The 17053-nt window shown below is 41.5% G+C and overlaps 1 annotated feature.

The window, feature by feature from the left end:
• Positions 15524 to 16024: an enhancer, noted in NCBI's record as "H3K4me1 hESC enhancer chr14:101550379-101550879 (GRCh37/hg19 assembly coordinates)". NCBI's record gives its function as "activates a minimal SCP1, AML or CMV promoter by ChIP-STARR-seq in primed H9 embryonic stem cells {active_cell/tissue: H9 hESC(primed)}" and the evidence as "EXISTENCE:reporter gene assay evidence [ECO:0000049][PMID:30033119]".

Raw genomic sequence — 17053 nt, 5'->3', positions numbered from 1 at the left:
TCCCATATCAAAATTCCAATATCATTTTTCACAGAAACAGAAAAAATAATCCTAAAATTTACGTGGAACCACAGAAGACCTCAAATAGCCAAAGTAACCTTGACCAAAAGGAACAAACTCAAAGGCATCGCACTATCTAATTTCAAAATCTACTACAAAGCTACAGTAATCAAAACAGCATGGTACTGGCACAAAAAAAAAGACACATAGATTAATGGAACAGAATAGAGAGCCTAGAAATAGCCATGCAGAGCCATGCATTTACGGTCAATTCATTTTCAACAAAGATGTCAAGAACACATAATGGGAAAATGACAGTCTCTTTAGTAAATGATCTTAGGAAAGCTGGATATCCACATACAGAAGAATTAAATTAGACCCTCATCTCATATCATATATTATTACAAAGATCTACTCAAAACGGGTTAAAGACTTCAATATAAGACCTAAAACTAAAACTACTAGAAATAAACATAAGAAAAAAGTTTCACGACATTCGTCTAGGCAATGATGTTTTTGGATGTGACCCCAAAACCACAGGTAAGAAAAGCAAAAACAGACAAGTGAGATTACACCAAACTACAAAGCTTCTGCACAGCAAAGGAAACAATCAAAAGGGTGAAAGCAACCTAAGAAATGGGAGAACATATTTGCAAACCATACATCTCATAAGAGGTTAATATATAAGAAACTCAGCCCAACAGCAAGAAATCAACCTGATTAAAATTGGACAAAGGACTTGAAGAAACATTTCTCAAAAGAAGACATACGAATGGTCAGCAGGTATATAAAGCAATGCTCATTGTCACTAAATCATCAAGGAAATGCAAATTAAAACCACAGTGAGATATTACCTCACACCTGTTAAAATGGCTATTATCAAAAAGATGATGAAACACTTACCAAAAGTGTTGATGAGGATGTCAGGAAAAGGAAACCCTTGCACACTGTTGGTGGGATTGTAACTTAGTACAGCCTTTTGGAACACACTATGATTCTTCAAAAAACTAAAAATAGAACTACCATATGATCCAGGAACATCACTTCTGAGTATACATCCAAAGGATACAAAATAATATGTCAAAGAAATACATTACAGCACTATCCACATTAGCCAAGATATGAAATCAACCTAAGTATGCATCAGTGGATAATGGATAAACGAAATCTGACAAATATGTGGAGTCCTGATAAGATAAGTAAGCAACAGTGAGGAAGAGGCCCCAGGAGAGGGAGAGAACAATTGTTCTGGGAAATGGCTAATCACAGACAACCCACTGGCACAGCATCCTGTTCCCGAATACCTCATTCTGCACATAGCCCCAGCAGCACCACCTTATAAAACTTCCCTCCAGCCTCTGCTTCTTGGTAGACAAGCCCCTTCTCTGCTGTGCTGCCTGTTGCTCCCTTGAAACATACTTTCTCTCTAATAAACTTGTTTTCTTTAACTTACTGCTGTTTCAGTAAATTATTTCACTGCCCGCAACGCCAGCCCCAATCACCACCCACATCGCCACTGACAACAACATATACAAAGTGGAATACTATTTAGCTTATAAAAGAAGGAAATCCTGTCATTTATGAAATGGATGAGCCTGGAGGACATTATGTTAAGTGAAATAAGCCAGGCACAGAAAGACAAAGACTTCATGTTCTCACTTATATGTGGAATCTAGAAAAGAGGAACTCACAGCACCAGAGAGTAGGGTGGTGATTGCCAGGGGCTGGAGCGTTGGAACTGGGGAATGTGGAGATGTTGGGCCAAAGGTGCAAAGTTTCAGTGAGATGTAAGGAATACGTTTTAGAGATCTATTGCACAGCATTTTGACTATAGTTAATAATAATGTATTGTATATTTCAAAATTGCTAGAAGGGTTTATTTTAAATGGCCTTACCATAAAATATAAGTATGTGAGGTGATGGATTTGTTAATTAGCTTGATTTAATTATTTCATGTGTATGCGTGTATGAAAACATTGCAGTTTTCTAAAAAGTAAACTGAGGCACATAAAATTTTGAAGAGTTTATTTGAGCAAGCAATGATTCATGGATTGGGCAGCTCCAAACCAGAAGGAGTTCGGGACCTCCTCCAAGGGAATGCAAGAGTGAGGCTTTTACAGAACAAACATAGAAGAAAAGCAAAGAAAATATTTGATTTAAACACAGCTATGCCGTTGCATTTTTTGGTCTATCCTGTTGGAAAGTCACTAGTTATATAATTATAAGTTTGTTGGATACTTCTAATTGGTTGAGCTTAAGCTCTTTTTTTAAAAAAAAAAAAGTAGGTATTTAAAAGAAATAGCTTAAGTTTTGCTTATGTTTGCAAATAAAGCAAGGTTGAGGTCACTTATGAGACCTAACTGGTTTTGTCCTCTCAGGAATTCATCAGGCCCAATCTCCATCTTCACTTACTTTAACAACCCCACACCTCACTCCCCTTTGTTCACCCTCTCAGCATGCTGAGGGTGTGACCAGACAGCATAGCTTACTCTCAGCTGCCACTATTGATATAGTCACTGGAGCAGTCTTGTAGGCATTATCATTATCAACAGCTGCATTGGGATGTAAGGTCACGTTATCATTATTATCCAAAATTGAACATTCATTGTAAGACTTGAGTGGTCAGGTGGTTCAGGTCTCTAAATTGTCTAATCCTGATGGCAATCATTTGAGGTGTGAGTGGCTACTGGAAAGTATTTAAAATCCTCACAAGGATACAAGGACTACAGGGAAGTGAATACAATGACTAAGGAGAATGAATACAATGACTAAGGAGGATAATAGCCAAGAACTATTGGCTGAAAAATTCCCTGGAGCAGAGATCCCAGGAGTCAAGATTTAACCAACTGAATAAATCCAACGAGGAAGCAGTACCTATTTGATGAGAAATGTATTTGTTAATGAAAAGCCTTTTAATTTGGGGCAACGATTTCTAATTTATGGACATAGAAGCAACATTTTTTATTAAAACGAGCATAAACTACTTCTTCTTACCAGATCAAGAACTTCTATGGAAGTTAGCCTATGGAAGCTAAATTGTTCATTTCAGATTGTATTGCTTGAAGGAAATTCAAGCTGTCATCCTATGAGAGTAAACTAAAAACAAAGATTAATATTTGGAGTATACTGTGATCTTAGAGTTTGAGTCAGAAGGACAGCTAGTTGAGATTTCTAGATTTGAGTTTGAAACATCTTTAGAGGGGGGATGAGCATGGCAGCTGTAATCTAATGGATTTTCCTGATTTGCAGTTAGAATATCTCTGCTTATGTCATCAGATACTCCTCTGGTGAACTCTCCAAGTGACCCATATAGCAGCAGGCATGAACATTGCCCATAGATGGTCTGCTATAGTGATTTTTCTGAAGTTTAAAGTCCTCCAGTTTCAGCTTGCAGAGCTTAGGACAAAGGAACTTTTAGCTTTTTACTAAACTAGAAGAAATCGGAATTCACTCCCGTTTACAGATGGGTAATAAAACCTCAAAGAAAATGAACAGGACTAGAATTTGACCACAGATGCTCCATAGGTTTCTATTAAAATAGAATCTTTTTAACAGACACTCCCATTTTTACCAAAGGTAATTACAGTAAGATTTTTTTAATAAGTCCAGTTTCAATTAACTTGGCCTCATTATTTATGTAAGTGTAACAAGAATAGTAATTCTGTGTATTTTTAAAAATATAATATTTTAGTCGGTGCTTTGGTAGTATCTGTTGATGAAAAAAGCCAAACACTGTAAAATATGTAGAGACTTATTCTGAGCCAAATATGAGTGACCATGGCCAGCAACACAGCCTCAGGAGGTCCTGAGAACACGTCCCCAGAGTAGTTGGCTTACAACTTGATTGTATACATTTTAGAGAGACAGAAGTTACAGGCAAAGACATAAACCAACACATATCAGTGGTTCAGCTGGTAAACATGGGACATCTTGAAGTAGGGAGAGGGGCTTCCAGATCATAGGTGGAATCAGAGGTTTTCTGACTGGTAGTTAGTTAAAAGAGTTAACCTATTTGCCTGAAAAGTTGAAGTCAGCATAAAGAAATGCTTAATTTAAGATAAGGAGGGTTGTGAAAGCCAAGGTTCTCGTCATGTAGATGAAGCCACTAAGTAACAGGCTTCAGAGAGAATAGACAGTAAATGCCTCTTATGACGTTTACCTTAAAACCTACCTTAAATGACCTTAAAAGGTGTCAGCCTCTCTGAAAAAGACCTAGAAGGGGAAAAAGATTCTCTACAGAATGCAAATTTCCCCCCACAAAAGATGCTTCACAGGGCCACTTCAAAATATTTCAAAGAAAATATCTTTGGGCGGTAAATACTCTGATTCTCTACAGAGCCTGCTATCTGTCATACAACACTACAGCAGAGCCAGGTTGGAGTTAGATATTCTATTGCTACAAAGAGTCTGTTTTGTCAGTCTTATGTTCTCAATTTCAATGTTAATGCTGGTCAGTTGTGCCTGAACCCCAAAGGGAGGAGGGCATGACAAAGCAGGTCTGACCCCCCAACTTCCCATCATGGCTTGAACTCACATGATAAGGCAGGTCTGACCCCCCAGCTTCCCACCATGGGCTGAACCTGCATGACAAGGCAGGTCTGACCCCCCCAGCTTCCCACCATTGTTGTACCTGAGCAAGTTAGAGAAAACGCCACACTTTGAGACGAATTAAGAGTCCGTTTATTTAGCCGGCGGCCAAGAGACAGCTAACGCTCAAAGTTCTCTTGGCCCCGAAGAAGGGGCTAGATTTTCTTTTATACTTTGGTTTAGAAAGGGGAGGGAGTTCTAGTTAAAACAATTTTACAGAAGTAAAGTAGGCAAAAAAGTTAAAAGGATAAATGGTTACAGGAAAGTAAACAGTTCCAGGTGCAGGGGCTTTAAGACTATTACAAGGTGATAGACGCGGGGGGCTTTGGGCGTTATCAATCGGATGAATTCCTGGGAACTGCGGATATTGCTCGCCACAGTATCTTATCACTCTTGGATGTGCTGGGAGTCAGCTTGCAAAGGTTAAGTCCTTGAGGAAGGGGCTGCCAGTGAAAGAGCCAAGATGGAGTCTGTCTGGCTCTCTTAGCTGAGAGTCAATTCAGGTGGAAACAAGGCTAGGTGATTAAAGGGAAGGGAGAGTCTAAGAACAGGGTTAGTAAAAACAAGGTTGGGCATTACACCAGGGCCTGAACTCGTTTTTAAGGTTTCTTTGTGTTCCCCTTGGCCAACGGGGGCATCCATTCAGTGGGTCGGGGGACTGAGAATTTCATTTTCCTTTACATATTCAAGGAACTTTATTGATTTTCTATCAGTCAACTTTAGTTTTTTTAAAACTATCTGGTGAGGAGAAATGTCATATTAGACCTCTACAAACCTCTCTAAGCTAAGAAGCCAAGCCAAAGACTTTCCCAATTATGGCCTGTTACAAGAAGTACAGATTCTCCCCTCTGCCCCACTCCGAGATGGAGTCTCACCCTGTCACCCAGGCTGGAGTGCAATGGTGCAATCTCGGCTCACTGCGGCCTCCGCCTCCTGGGTTCGAGAGATTCTAGTGCCTCACCCTCCTGAGTAGCTGGGATTACAGGCATGCACCACCACCCCTGGCTAATTTTTGTATTTCTAGTAAAGACCGGGTTTTACCATGTTGGCCAGGCTGGTCTTGAACTCCTGGCCTCAGGTGATCCACCTGCCTCGGCCTCCCAGAGTGCTGGGATTAGAGGTGTGAGCCACTGTGCCCAGCCTCAAGGAGCACAGATTCTTATTGAACCTAAGCAAACACCCATATTGCCATGAAAATAAAAATATTTAATATGAGTTCCCCAAATTCTGGAGGAATCAGGTATGGAGAAAAAAATAAATGCTCCATTTTTGTTTACAAAAGTATATTTTATCACCGCTATAACTTATAGACAGCTTAAGAGAAAAGAGAAAAGGAGTTTATTAAATCTAAAATACAAAGGCATTGAAGAACAAGCAATGTTTCCAACAAACAGTCATAGAGATTATAATTATCTTCAGTTAACTTGATCCCATGTAATTAATTTTTGTTCTGTTTGATATTGGGTTAGCAGCTTTATGAATCCATCAGTTTTTCATTACAGTTCCGGAAATTCTCACCCAGTCCTATAGTATGATCTTAACATTATCAGAAACCTGTACTTGTCAGTCTTTTTCATGACTCTCTTGAAATTTCCTATCATGCAACTGATAAGAAAATTTGGTTATTTTGGTGACATCTAATATTTTATGACAATAATCACAATTATAATAGATAACACTATATTAGGACATATCAGATTTTTAGCAATTTCATACAATTTCTGTAATACTCATATCAACAAATTGGTATAAATTAAAATATAAATTTAAGAAGGTTTAGCATCGCTTATTACTTAGCAATGCCTCTCTTACAGTTAATAAGCCTAATTAGTTTAATATTTATTTTTATAAAGGAGAAAAATTCTTTTTTTTTTTTTGAGACAGGATTTCACTCTGTCACCCAGGTTGGAGTGCGCTGGTGCGATCACTGCCCACTACAGCCTTGACCTCCCAAGCTCAAGCAATTCTCCCATCTCAGTTAGAACTACAGGCACATGCCACCACGCCTGACTAATTTTAGTATTTTTTGTAGTGACTGGTTTTCTTCATGTTGCCCAGGCTAGTCTTGAACTCCTGGGCTAAGGCGATCTGCCCACTTCAGCCTCCCAAAGTGCTGGGACTACAAGCGTGAGTCACCATGCTTAGCCGAAAAATTCTTCTGAGATATTCTAGGGACCCTTCTGGAAACTCCCAAAGCTAATTCAAGGTCAAAAAGACTTAATTCAGAATTTGATTTAGGAAGCTATCAAAAATGTCAGAAAGTTTCAAACATTTGATTAAATAGGATCATAGGTCACTGCGAAACAATACCAAAATGACAAACGATTTTGAAGGCAAATGCAGAAAACTACATAGTTGTAAAAAAAAAAAACAAAACACTTAGCTCTTTCAGTCTTAAAAAGACTCACTTTTCTGAAACAATCTAAGACCTAATAAAAGACTACATGTGGCATAAGAAATTATTTGATAAAACACAAGATGTTTGTTTTCTGGGCCAATTACTTAAAGGGTAAAGAAAAAACATTTTATAATCAACAACAGACCAATATTGCAAGAAAACTTCATCCTTTTAGCACAGAGAGAACCCAATTCTAGCTTTGTATTAGTATTTACTTAGCTTATTTTTTAACCGTTAGAAATAAAATTTATCTAATCTTAATAAAACTCCCTTTTCACAGACCTACAACTTTCTATATCATTTAGTTTTTGTCTCACTCATTTTCTTCCTTTTCCTTCTGGAACAGTCAGCCACCTTGCTTTAAGACAAAATTATTATTTTTCCCCTAATGAAAACACATACCTTGTATACTTTTCCTTATTAAGGTATTTTTAACATATTATTAAAGTATCCATTTTGTGTGTATATTTTTCATATACACTTGTTTTCTTCATCCTTATTATTTATAGTAGTTTTAATTACGTATATTAATTAAGATCCTTAACACTTACTAAACTTTATATCCAGTGAAAATCAGACAGTGCACAATTTCATAATTTTTAAATAGCATATGTTTCTTCATAGCACTGGACATGCCTGCCAGTAAACCCAGATACCTCTAATTCCTCCTAATAAGAAGCAAAAGATATGTAAGCTTAAACTTATGTTCAGGAATTAATGTTTTAGCAGTTTGTATTATTTGGAAATGGTCTAGATATTTAATGAATACCTACCACTTAATTTAACTTAGTATAGTTTTAAGGTTTCAAGTTATCAAGAAGATGTTGGAAATTGTTTTTAGACAGACATATTATAACACTAAATAAAAGTAGCTGTCATCTCATGTTATTTTTCTTGTTGACAAATTTTGTAACAAAGATGACATAAGCTTATTCAACTAGTAAAGCTAGATGGAATATACTTTTTTAACTAAATCACAAATACTTTTATTTATTAAAGATTAAAGTCATTAGAAACTTGAAAATCAGTGGGGTTAGTTCCTTTCTCTTCTGAGAAAATACTTATTTTATACATGAATTTACTTTTCCTTTAGACAAACTAAACAGACTTCTTTCAATATTATTTCTAGGAATACCATCCAGATATATCATTTCTAATAATAACATCCATATATAATATCATTATATGCAGAATAATATTACATAAAATTATATACATATATGTACGGCTATATATGTGTATACATACATATAAATTAGATATATGCCTATATACATTTATATGTATATATACATATAAATTATTTATATGTATGTTTGTCTATATGTATATGGCCAGACATACAAATAATTTATATGTAATATTATTCTACATATGTGGATGTTATTATTAGAAATGATATATCTGGATGGTATTGTTAGAAATAATATTGAAAGAGATCTAATTTGTTTAAAGAAAAAATAAGTGCATGAATAAAATAGTATTTTCTCAGAAGAGAAAGGAATTAACCCCAATGGTTTTCAAGTTCCTAATGACTTTAATCTTTAAAAAATAAAAATACTACTGATTTTCATATATATATGCATATATTTTGTATATATGTATATATATAGCCATACATAAAGATACAGGCAGATGCAAACAGAGATTCATGGAGTCTGTTCTGTCATTTTAGCCACATTTCAGGTATAATAATATAAAACTCACTAGTTGGATCCAAATTTTGTCTCTGGCAGTTAAAGTTACCTGCTCAGATGGCTAAAGCCTTTTATTAATATTTGTGAAAAGGACTTTTAAGATTTTTCATTTACCATTTATTTCTAAAAAGTTTCTCTTTATGCTTTCCTTCTGATGAGTCATTTCCCTGAAGTCTGCATTTCAAAGATTTAGACATCTCAAAGGCAGAGGAAAAGGACGTGAAGTTTTCTCTCATAAGGAATTTTGGGGCATATTCCTCTCTTATCAGGAGTCAGTCTTAATAAGACTGTAGACTGAATTATAGGTGAGTAACGGAGGAGATACCCAGTCTATTTCCAGTGAGTCTTTATCTGTTTTAGCCTTAGGTGGTTGCTTTTATAATAGCTCAGAGTTGTGTGCAAGACCAAGAATTAAATTTAGTTGTTGCAGGTACAACTGGTTCATTTAAGGATCTAATTTTTTAAGGAAGTTAGTGTTGAGGAGATTCAGATGGAAGAAGCAAGACTAAAGACTATTAAAGAGGTTAGTAGATTCAGAATAATTTTTTATTAGTGTGCTGTAGAGATTCCTTTAGAGAGATTATTTTTTGAGTCATTCTGTCTTTTGGAAACCTCTGTATACCAATCAAAAATGTATCTCGGCCAGGCACGGTGGCTCACACCTATAATCCCAGCACTTTGGGAAGCCGAGGCGGGCGGATCACCTGAGGTCGGGAGTTTCAGACCAGCCTGACCAATATGGAGAAACCCCATCTCTACTAAAAATACAAAATTAGCCGGGTGTGGTGGCTCACGCCTGTAATCCAAGCTACTCGCGAGGCTGAGGCAGGAGAATTGCTTGAACCCAGGAGGCAGAGTTTGCAGTGAGCCGAGATCACACCATTGCACTACAGCCTGGGCAACAAGAGCAAAACTCCATCTCAAAAAAAAAAAAAAAAGTATCTCATTGTTTCCGAGGCATTTGGGATCACTTTTTAAAAATGTACCCATAGACAAATAATTACATCTAGAATAAAAGTTTCCCCAATATGATCACTCTAAGTTTCAATTATCTTCCTGAGTTGCATCCATTTCTCTAGAAAGGCACAGATGCTGGGTCCCTAGATAGTTTCATAGTTTCAAACACAAAATTAGCTGGAGTTCTAAATGGAGGAGTCCTGGGCCTCTCAGATTCTGAAGAACCCATAATACTTTGTTTTTCTAAAACTTTACTTACCTGAGGCTTTCAACTGGATCCAATCCAGTTTTTGTTGAACACTTAGTTTGACCTCCAGATTCCAACTTGGATTCCAGGCCTATCCCAGAAACAGAGCACTACCCTGGACCTAGTCCAGTCCCTATCAGACCCAGTTTGACCTCCAGAATAAAAGTTGTTCAAAGGAAGTCAAACAGCTCAGGATACAAGTTGCAAAGCTCAACATCCAAGAGAGGCTTACCCTGCGATCGCCACAGCGGGTCCAGTAGGTGCCTGTGTCTGGTTATTCATTGCTCCTGGGAGTTGTCAGGGGTCTCCTTTAGCTCCCACTCTGAACACCAAACTTTTAAAATGGTAAACTGAGGCACAATAAAATTTTAAAGAGTTTATTTGAACAAACAACAATTCATGAATCAGGCAGCTCCAAACCAAGAGTGGTTTAGGAGCTCCACTGAGGAACTGCAAAAGGAGGGCTTTTAAAGGATGGACACAGAAGTTAAGCAAGTATTTGATTGGTTACAGTTAAACTGTTGCCATATTTGTTTTATCCAGTTGGAAACTCCTTAGTTATATAATTATTAGTTTATTGGCTACTTCCAGTTGGCTGAGCTTAAATTTTGTTTTTTGTTTTTTGTTTTTTGTTTTTTTTGAGATGGAATCTCACTCTGTCACACGGGCTGGAGTGCAGAGGCGTGATCTCGGCTCACTACAACCTCCACCCCCCTGGGTTCAAGCAATTCTCTTGCCTCAGCCTCCTGAGTAGCAGGGATTACAGATACCCACCACCACATCGGGCTAATTTTTGTATTTTTAGTAGAGACAGGGTTTCACCATGTTGGCCGGGCTGATCTTGAACTCCCAACCTCAGGTTATCCACCCGCCTTGGCCTCCCTAAGTGCCGGGATTACAGGGGTGAGCCACTCTGTTGTTCTTCAATACAGGTATTTTCAAGAAATAGCTTAAGTTTTGCTTATGGTTGCAAATCAAGCAAGGTTCAGGTCACTTACGAGACCTAAGTGGTTTTGTTTGCTCAGGAATTCTTCAGGCCTAGTCTCTGTTTTAATTTAACATATCATACCCCATAAATATATACAATTATTACTTGTCAGTTAAGAAAATAAATGTGGCTGTAACTTCACATTAACCAAGAATATTGCTGAGTGCTGGGAAGAAGAAGCAGACAGGGAGGGGCAGGTTTCAAAACGATTTAATTCTTCAATGTGCTTCTAATTTTCCTTATCCATGTCATCTAATTTCTCTGCAAGGACCACTTAGCACTTGGTTCTGTTTCATGGCAGAGAATTCCTGCCACATGCGGCTTCCCAGAATCTCCCAGTCATGCCCACTAAAGTGCACAAAGTGCAGCGAGGGGCTGATGGGCACAGGATAGGAGCCCCCCATTTCCTCTGTGGCCCTGGGCAAGAACCTTCACCTCTGAATGGGTGCCATTTGCACCTGAGCTAAACAGATAGAGAAATGCCTACACTGGACTCCCCTGGACTCCCCTCTCACAGCATGTGAGAGCACTCTCCGGCGTAAAGCTCCAAGAATGCCTGAGATGGAGCGGGCTCTGTGTCCTGCCAGGCCCTGCCAGGCCCTGCCAGGCCCAGGCCTCTGGGCCTCTGCTCACCAAGGCCAAGGGCCCATCCTTGAACCTGGTCCTGATCACCCAGCAGATTCCAAGCATGGTTTCCACCCCAAAGGCAAAGGCCTACTGGCCACGGTAGCTCGTGAGCTCGCCAGGCTCAGGTCAGTTCTGGGCCATAAACACTTCCTACTGGCAGAAAGGGAAAGAGATTCCTGTCCCCTGGGTTCCCTGGTCTCTGTTTCCCTTCCCTGCTCCAAGTGGCCATTGAGGAATCTGGCCACAGAGGGCAGGAGCTCAAGGCTGGCAGGACATGCCATGCGGCGAGCCCTGGGCTCTGCACCATACATAGGCCTTGTTTCACTGCTTGGTAATGCCGGGATTGTTATTTCCAGTATTTTGCAAGAAGCAATGTTTATGTGATGTTTTACCACTGGCAATCTTCTTGTGGTTTTTGATGGGTGCCAAACAAGTCTCCAAAGGCCGTAGTGCTGGAAGCACACAGCGGGTGTCCAGGGCTGAGCCTCTTGCCTTCAGGGCTGAGCCTGTGAGCAGGACTTGGTGTCCACACTGCCTCCTGCACGTTGCTCCAGGGTCAAAGCCATGTGCAGTGGTGCTTTATGGACCCCCACTGTTAGAGAGTTTATCTGAGCAAACAACTCTTTAACAGTGATGTGATATGACAATGAACGGGGACACTCACCCCAGTTTTTCCACTCTGCCCCCCAGCCCAAGTCCAGGCTGCTTGGCCACTGCCACCATCTCTGCACTAGGGGGCCTAATCGCAAGGGACTGGACTAGGTTTGCAGAAGCAAACCCAGAGGAGGGGCTCCTGGCCTTGATGCCTTCTCACACTTACCTGCTGAACAAGGAGGGCCATGAGTTAATCGTCAGCTCCCCATACCTGTCCCTCCTGCTGCTTCCTCCTCTCACCAATAGCTCCAGAGTGCACTTAGGGACCAAGCCAGGAGCCAGCCGCTGGCCTGCGTTACTCCCCTAAGGCCCCAGCATCCACTTCGAGTGGATCATTTCTCTTATCTCAGCAGTGCATGGATCCGCCAGCTTCTTTTAGTCTCCTGGATCCAGTCACTCCATCTCTACCTGGACAGGGGAAGAATCATCTGTATGGACTCTCTGCTGCCCCCTCACCCACCCTTACCCCTGCAACACACACACACACACACACACACACACCCCACACACACACACACACACTCATACCCCAACAGCATCTGGAGTGAACTCCTGGGTGGGAAAGCGTGCATATGTCACAGTCCTTTTTGGTTCCCAGAAACACTCGACCCCTACCCACCTCTCCAGCCCCATCTGCTATGAGCACAGTTTCCCCATCCCAAAATAGTTCAGAAAGCCTCACAGTCCTCCTTGGACCAAGAAAGCTTACCAACCCAGCTGACCCAGCTCCTTGGCATGGCCACCTCAGTGGGCAGTTGAGTGCCAGGGTCCCTGAAGTTCCCCCTCAGCACCTGCCATGGATCCACCAGCCCGGGAACTGCCCACACCCATCCTGTGCTGACCCATTAGTTCTACAGTCTTCTGGAGCCCAGGATATCTCCAGCCATGACCCTACATGGGAAGAGAGGGCTGCCTGAATCCCAGGGCTCCAGTACGTGTCTGCCCTGCAGCCCCTTTGCAGGTGTGACCCTCAGAATGGGAATGTTTACCCCAGAAAAAAATTCACTCATTTACGGTCAATTGAATTTTGACAAAGATGCCATGAACACACATGGGGAAATGACAGTTTCTTCAAAAAACGGCATTGGGAAAGTTGGATATCCATATGCAGAAGAATGAAGTTAGACCCTCATCTCACACCATATACAAAAATCAACTCAAAATGGGTTAAAGACCTTCACATAAGACCCAAAACTGTAAAACTACTAGAAGAAAACATAAGGGAAAAGCTCTATGACATTGATCTGGGCAATGATTCTTTGGCTATGACCCCAAAACAACAGGAACAAATATAAAAATAGACAAATAGGATTGTATCAAATTAAAAAGCTTCTGCACAGCAAAGGAAACAGCAGATTGAAGAGACAATCTATGGAATGGAAGAATATATCTGCAAGCCCTCTAACTTATAAGGGTTAATACCCAAAATATATAAAGAACTCAAACAATTCAACAGCCAGAAAACAAATACCCTGATTCAAAGATGGGTAAAGGATCAGAATAGATAATTCTCAAAAGAAGACATACAAATGGCCAACAGATATATGAAAAAATGCTTAACACCACTAATCATCAATGGAATACAAATTAAAACCATGATGAGCTACTACCTCACAACTGCTAGAATGATTATTATCAAAAAGATGAAAGATAACAAGTTTCGGTGAGGATGTGGAAAAAGAAAACCCTTGCACACTCTTGGTGGGAATGTAGATTGGTGCAGCCATTGTGGAAAACATATGGAGACTCTTCAAAAACTGCAGACAGAATTACCACATATCTCAGTCGGTTTGGGGCTGCTATCACAGAATACCTGAGCCTGGGTAATTGATGAAGAATAAAGATTTATTTCCTACAGTTCTGGATGTTGGGAAGTTAAAGGTCGGTGGCCCATATCTGGCAAGGGCCTTCTTGCTGGGCCATCCTATGGTGGAAGGTGGAAGGTGGAAGAGCAAGAGAACACAAGAGAGGGCCAATGAGAGAACAAGAAGGGGCAGAGCTCGCTTTCATAACAAACCCACTCCTGAGATAACCACATTCATCCATTTACAAGGATAGAGCTCTCATGACCTGATCACGTCTTTTCTTTTTTTTTTTTTTTGAGATAGAGTCTCGATCTGTCACCCAGGCTGGAGTGCAATGGCGTGATCTCTGCTTACTGCAACCTCCGACTCCTGGGTTCAAGCAATTCTCATGCCTCAGCCTCATGAGTAGCTGGGATTACAGGCACCCGCCACCATGCCCAGCTAATTTTGTATTTTAGCAGAGACGGGGTTTCACCATGTTGTTCAGGCTGGTCTCGAACTCCTGGCCTCAGGTGATCCACCCACCTTGGCCTCCCAAAGTGCTTGGATTACAGGCATGAGCCACTGCACCCGGCAACCTGATCACCTCTTAAAGGTCCTATCTGTCAACATTGTTGCATTGGGTACTAAGTCTCCAACATGTGAACTTTAAGGAATACATTCAAACCATAGCACCACAGGATCCAGCAATCCCACTTTTGTGTATGTGTGCATATGTGTGTGTGTATATATATATATAATGCAATCAGGATGTCAAAGAGGTTATCTGGCCTCTCATGTGCATTGCAGCACCATTCACAATAACCCAGCTATAGAATCAACCTAAGTATCCATCAGTGTACGAATAAAAACAATGTGGTATATATAAACCATGAAGTATTATTCAGCCTCAAAAAAGAAAGGGATCCTGTCATCGTCAACAACATGGATGAAGCTGGTGGATGTCATGTGAAGTGAAATAAGCCAGGCACAGAAAGGCAAATACTGCCTGATCTCACTTATATGTGGAATCAAGAAGAGCCAGACTCACAGAAGTAGAGGGTAAAATGGTGGTTACCAGAGGCTGGTGGTGGAGGCATTTAGAAGATGTGGATCAGAAAACACGAAATTTCATTCAGACTGTAGGAATAAGTTCAAGAGATCTGTTATACAACATGGTGATTATCGTTAACAACAACACATTGTGTCGTTGACAATTGCTTAGAAAGTAGATGTTAAGTGTTCTCACTACAAAAATATAAGTATGTGAGGTAATGCATATGTGGATTAGCTTGATTTAGCCATTCCACAATGTATACATATATCCAAGCAATATGTTATACATGATAAATATATCCAGTATTTATTTATCAGTGAAAAACAAATAAGCAAAGGAGTGAGAAGGCTCATCTCTCCCGGCCCTAGTCGGGACGGGAAAGCTCTGTGGAAGTGGGTTGGTTTGTGGATGTCGCCGGGCAGAGTGAGGAGTTGCTTCCCCTAGAGAGCAGGTTTTTTTCCTGGTCACCTCTCTGGGCTCCACAAAATGGGGCTTCTGAGTAAGTCAGATGGTCTGAAGGGAACGTTACCAGTCTTTGGGCCCAGCATTGGCCATATATGTTTGTGATGACAACTGGCCCTGGCTTTGTGTCCAGCTTCAAGCTTCTCCCTCCCTAAAACCTGAGCCCCAGTCCTTCCAGGCACATCCCAGCTCCTCACAGAGGCTGTGCCATTGTACAGATCAGCCCCTCTGCATGTGCTCTTCCTTCTGCCTAGGATGTCACCTCTCCACCCTGGTGTCTAGTGAAGCCATTCCTCCCCTGGCACCGTTCCTGGGTTTGGGGTGGACTCTTCCTCCCTCTCAGCACCTGCCTGCACAACCTGCCAAGGTTCTTGTGCCTAGGGCCCAGCCTAGAGCCAGGCACAGAGGGGAACGGGGGACAGTCACCATTTGCTGAGTTGGGGAGTAAGCAGGTAAGCCCTCCACCCCACCAGACAAAGGCAAACACCCAGCTTGAGGGGCCCATGTGGAGCTGTGGTTAAAAGCATGGGCTCAAGCCAGTGAGACAAGTCTGGGGCCAGGTCCAGCCACCAGCCGTTCCACTCTGGGCACGCCGGGGAAGCCCTCTGACAACAGGCTTGATTCCAGTTCCCGCCCCCAGAGGGCAGGGTGGAGGATGGATGACTGCGTGAGCAGCACCCAGCACAAGGCGCTCTGTGACTGTCGGCTTCCACCAACCCCCATGTGATTGTTGATATTGCATTCTGGATGGCACCGAAGCTTGGACCTGGAGCCCCGATCCTATGACCCTGGTGGCCCCGGTCGGGAGGTGGGGTAGGAGGGTCTTCCCAATCCTTCCTTTCACTTAGCCTTGGGCAGTGGTAGATCCAGCAGGAAGGGGGTGCCCCGAGTGGTCCTCGGTCCTGTGGATTTGAAGCCTGGTGTATAACTTTCCCTGTGCTGCTGTAAAACTTACCACAAATTTAGTGGCTTTAAAACAACACGAATTTATTATCTTACAGATCTGGAGGTCAGAAGTTCAAAATGGTTCTCGCCGGGTTAAAACCAAGGCATTGGCAGGGCTGCGTTCCTTCTGGAGGCCTAGAATAGAATTCCTTTTCTTACCATTGCAGCTGCTAGAGGCCACCTGCACTCCTTGGTTCATGGCCCCTTCCCCCATCTTCAAAGCCAGCAGCATAGCATCGTCCAGTCTGTCTCTTGACCTCTACCGCTGTTGCCTGATCTCCTTCCCCTTTTGTGACTCTCGCTCTCCTGCCTCCCTCTTATAAGGATGCTGTGATTACACTGAGCCCACTCAGGTAGTCCAGGATCATATGCCAGTCACAAGATCCTTAACTTAGGCACATTGGCAAAGTCCCTTTAGCCCTGTAAAGCAGCAAAGCAGCATGTCCCCAGCTTCTGGGGATTAGGACATGGACATCTTTGGGGCTGTCCCCAGCTTCTGGGGATTAGGATGTGGACATATTTGAGGCTGTCCCCAGCTTCTGGGGATTAGGACGTGCACATCTTTGGGGCTATTATTTGGTCAAGCACACCTGGGATTTCAGGTCCTCTAACCTGTGCTCCAAACACAGTCTCACATCTCCACCTCCAGC

Source organism: Homo sapiens, chromosome 14 (genome assembly GCF_000001405.40).
Source record: "Homo sapiens chromosome 14, GRCh38.p14 Primary Assembly".
Lineage (NCBI taxonomy): Eukaryota > Metazoa > Chordata > Mammalia > Primates > Hominidae > Homo > Homo sapiens.
The sequence above is the reverse complement of the archived record's forward strand: the minus strand, read 5'-3'. Positions and strand labels throughout refer to the sequence as shown.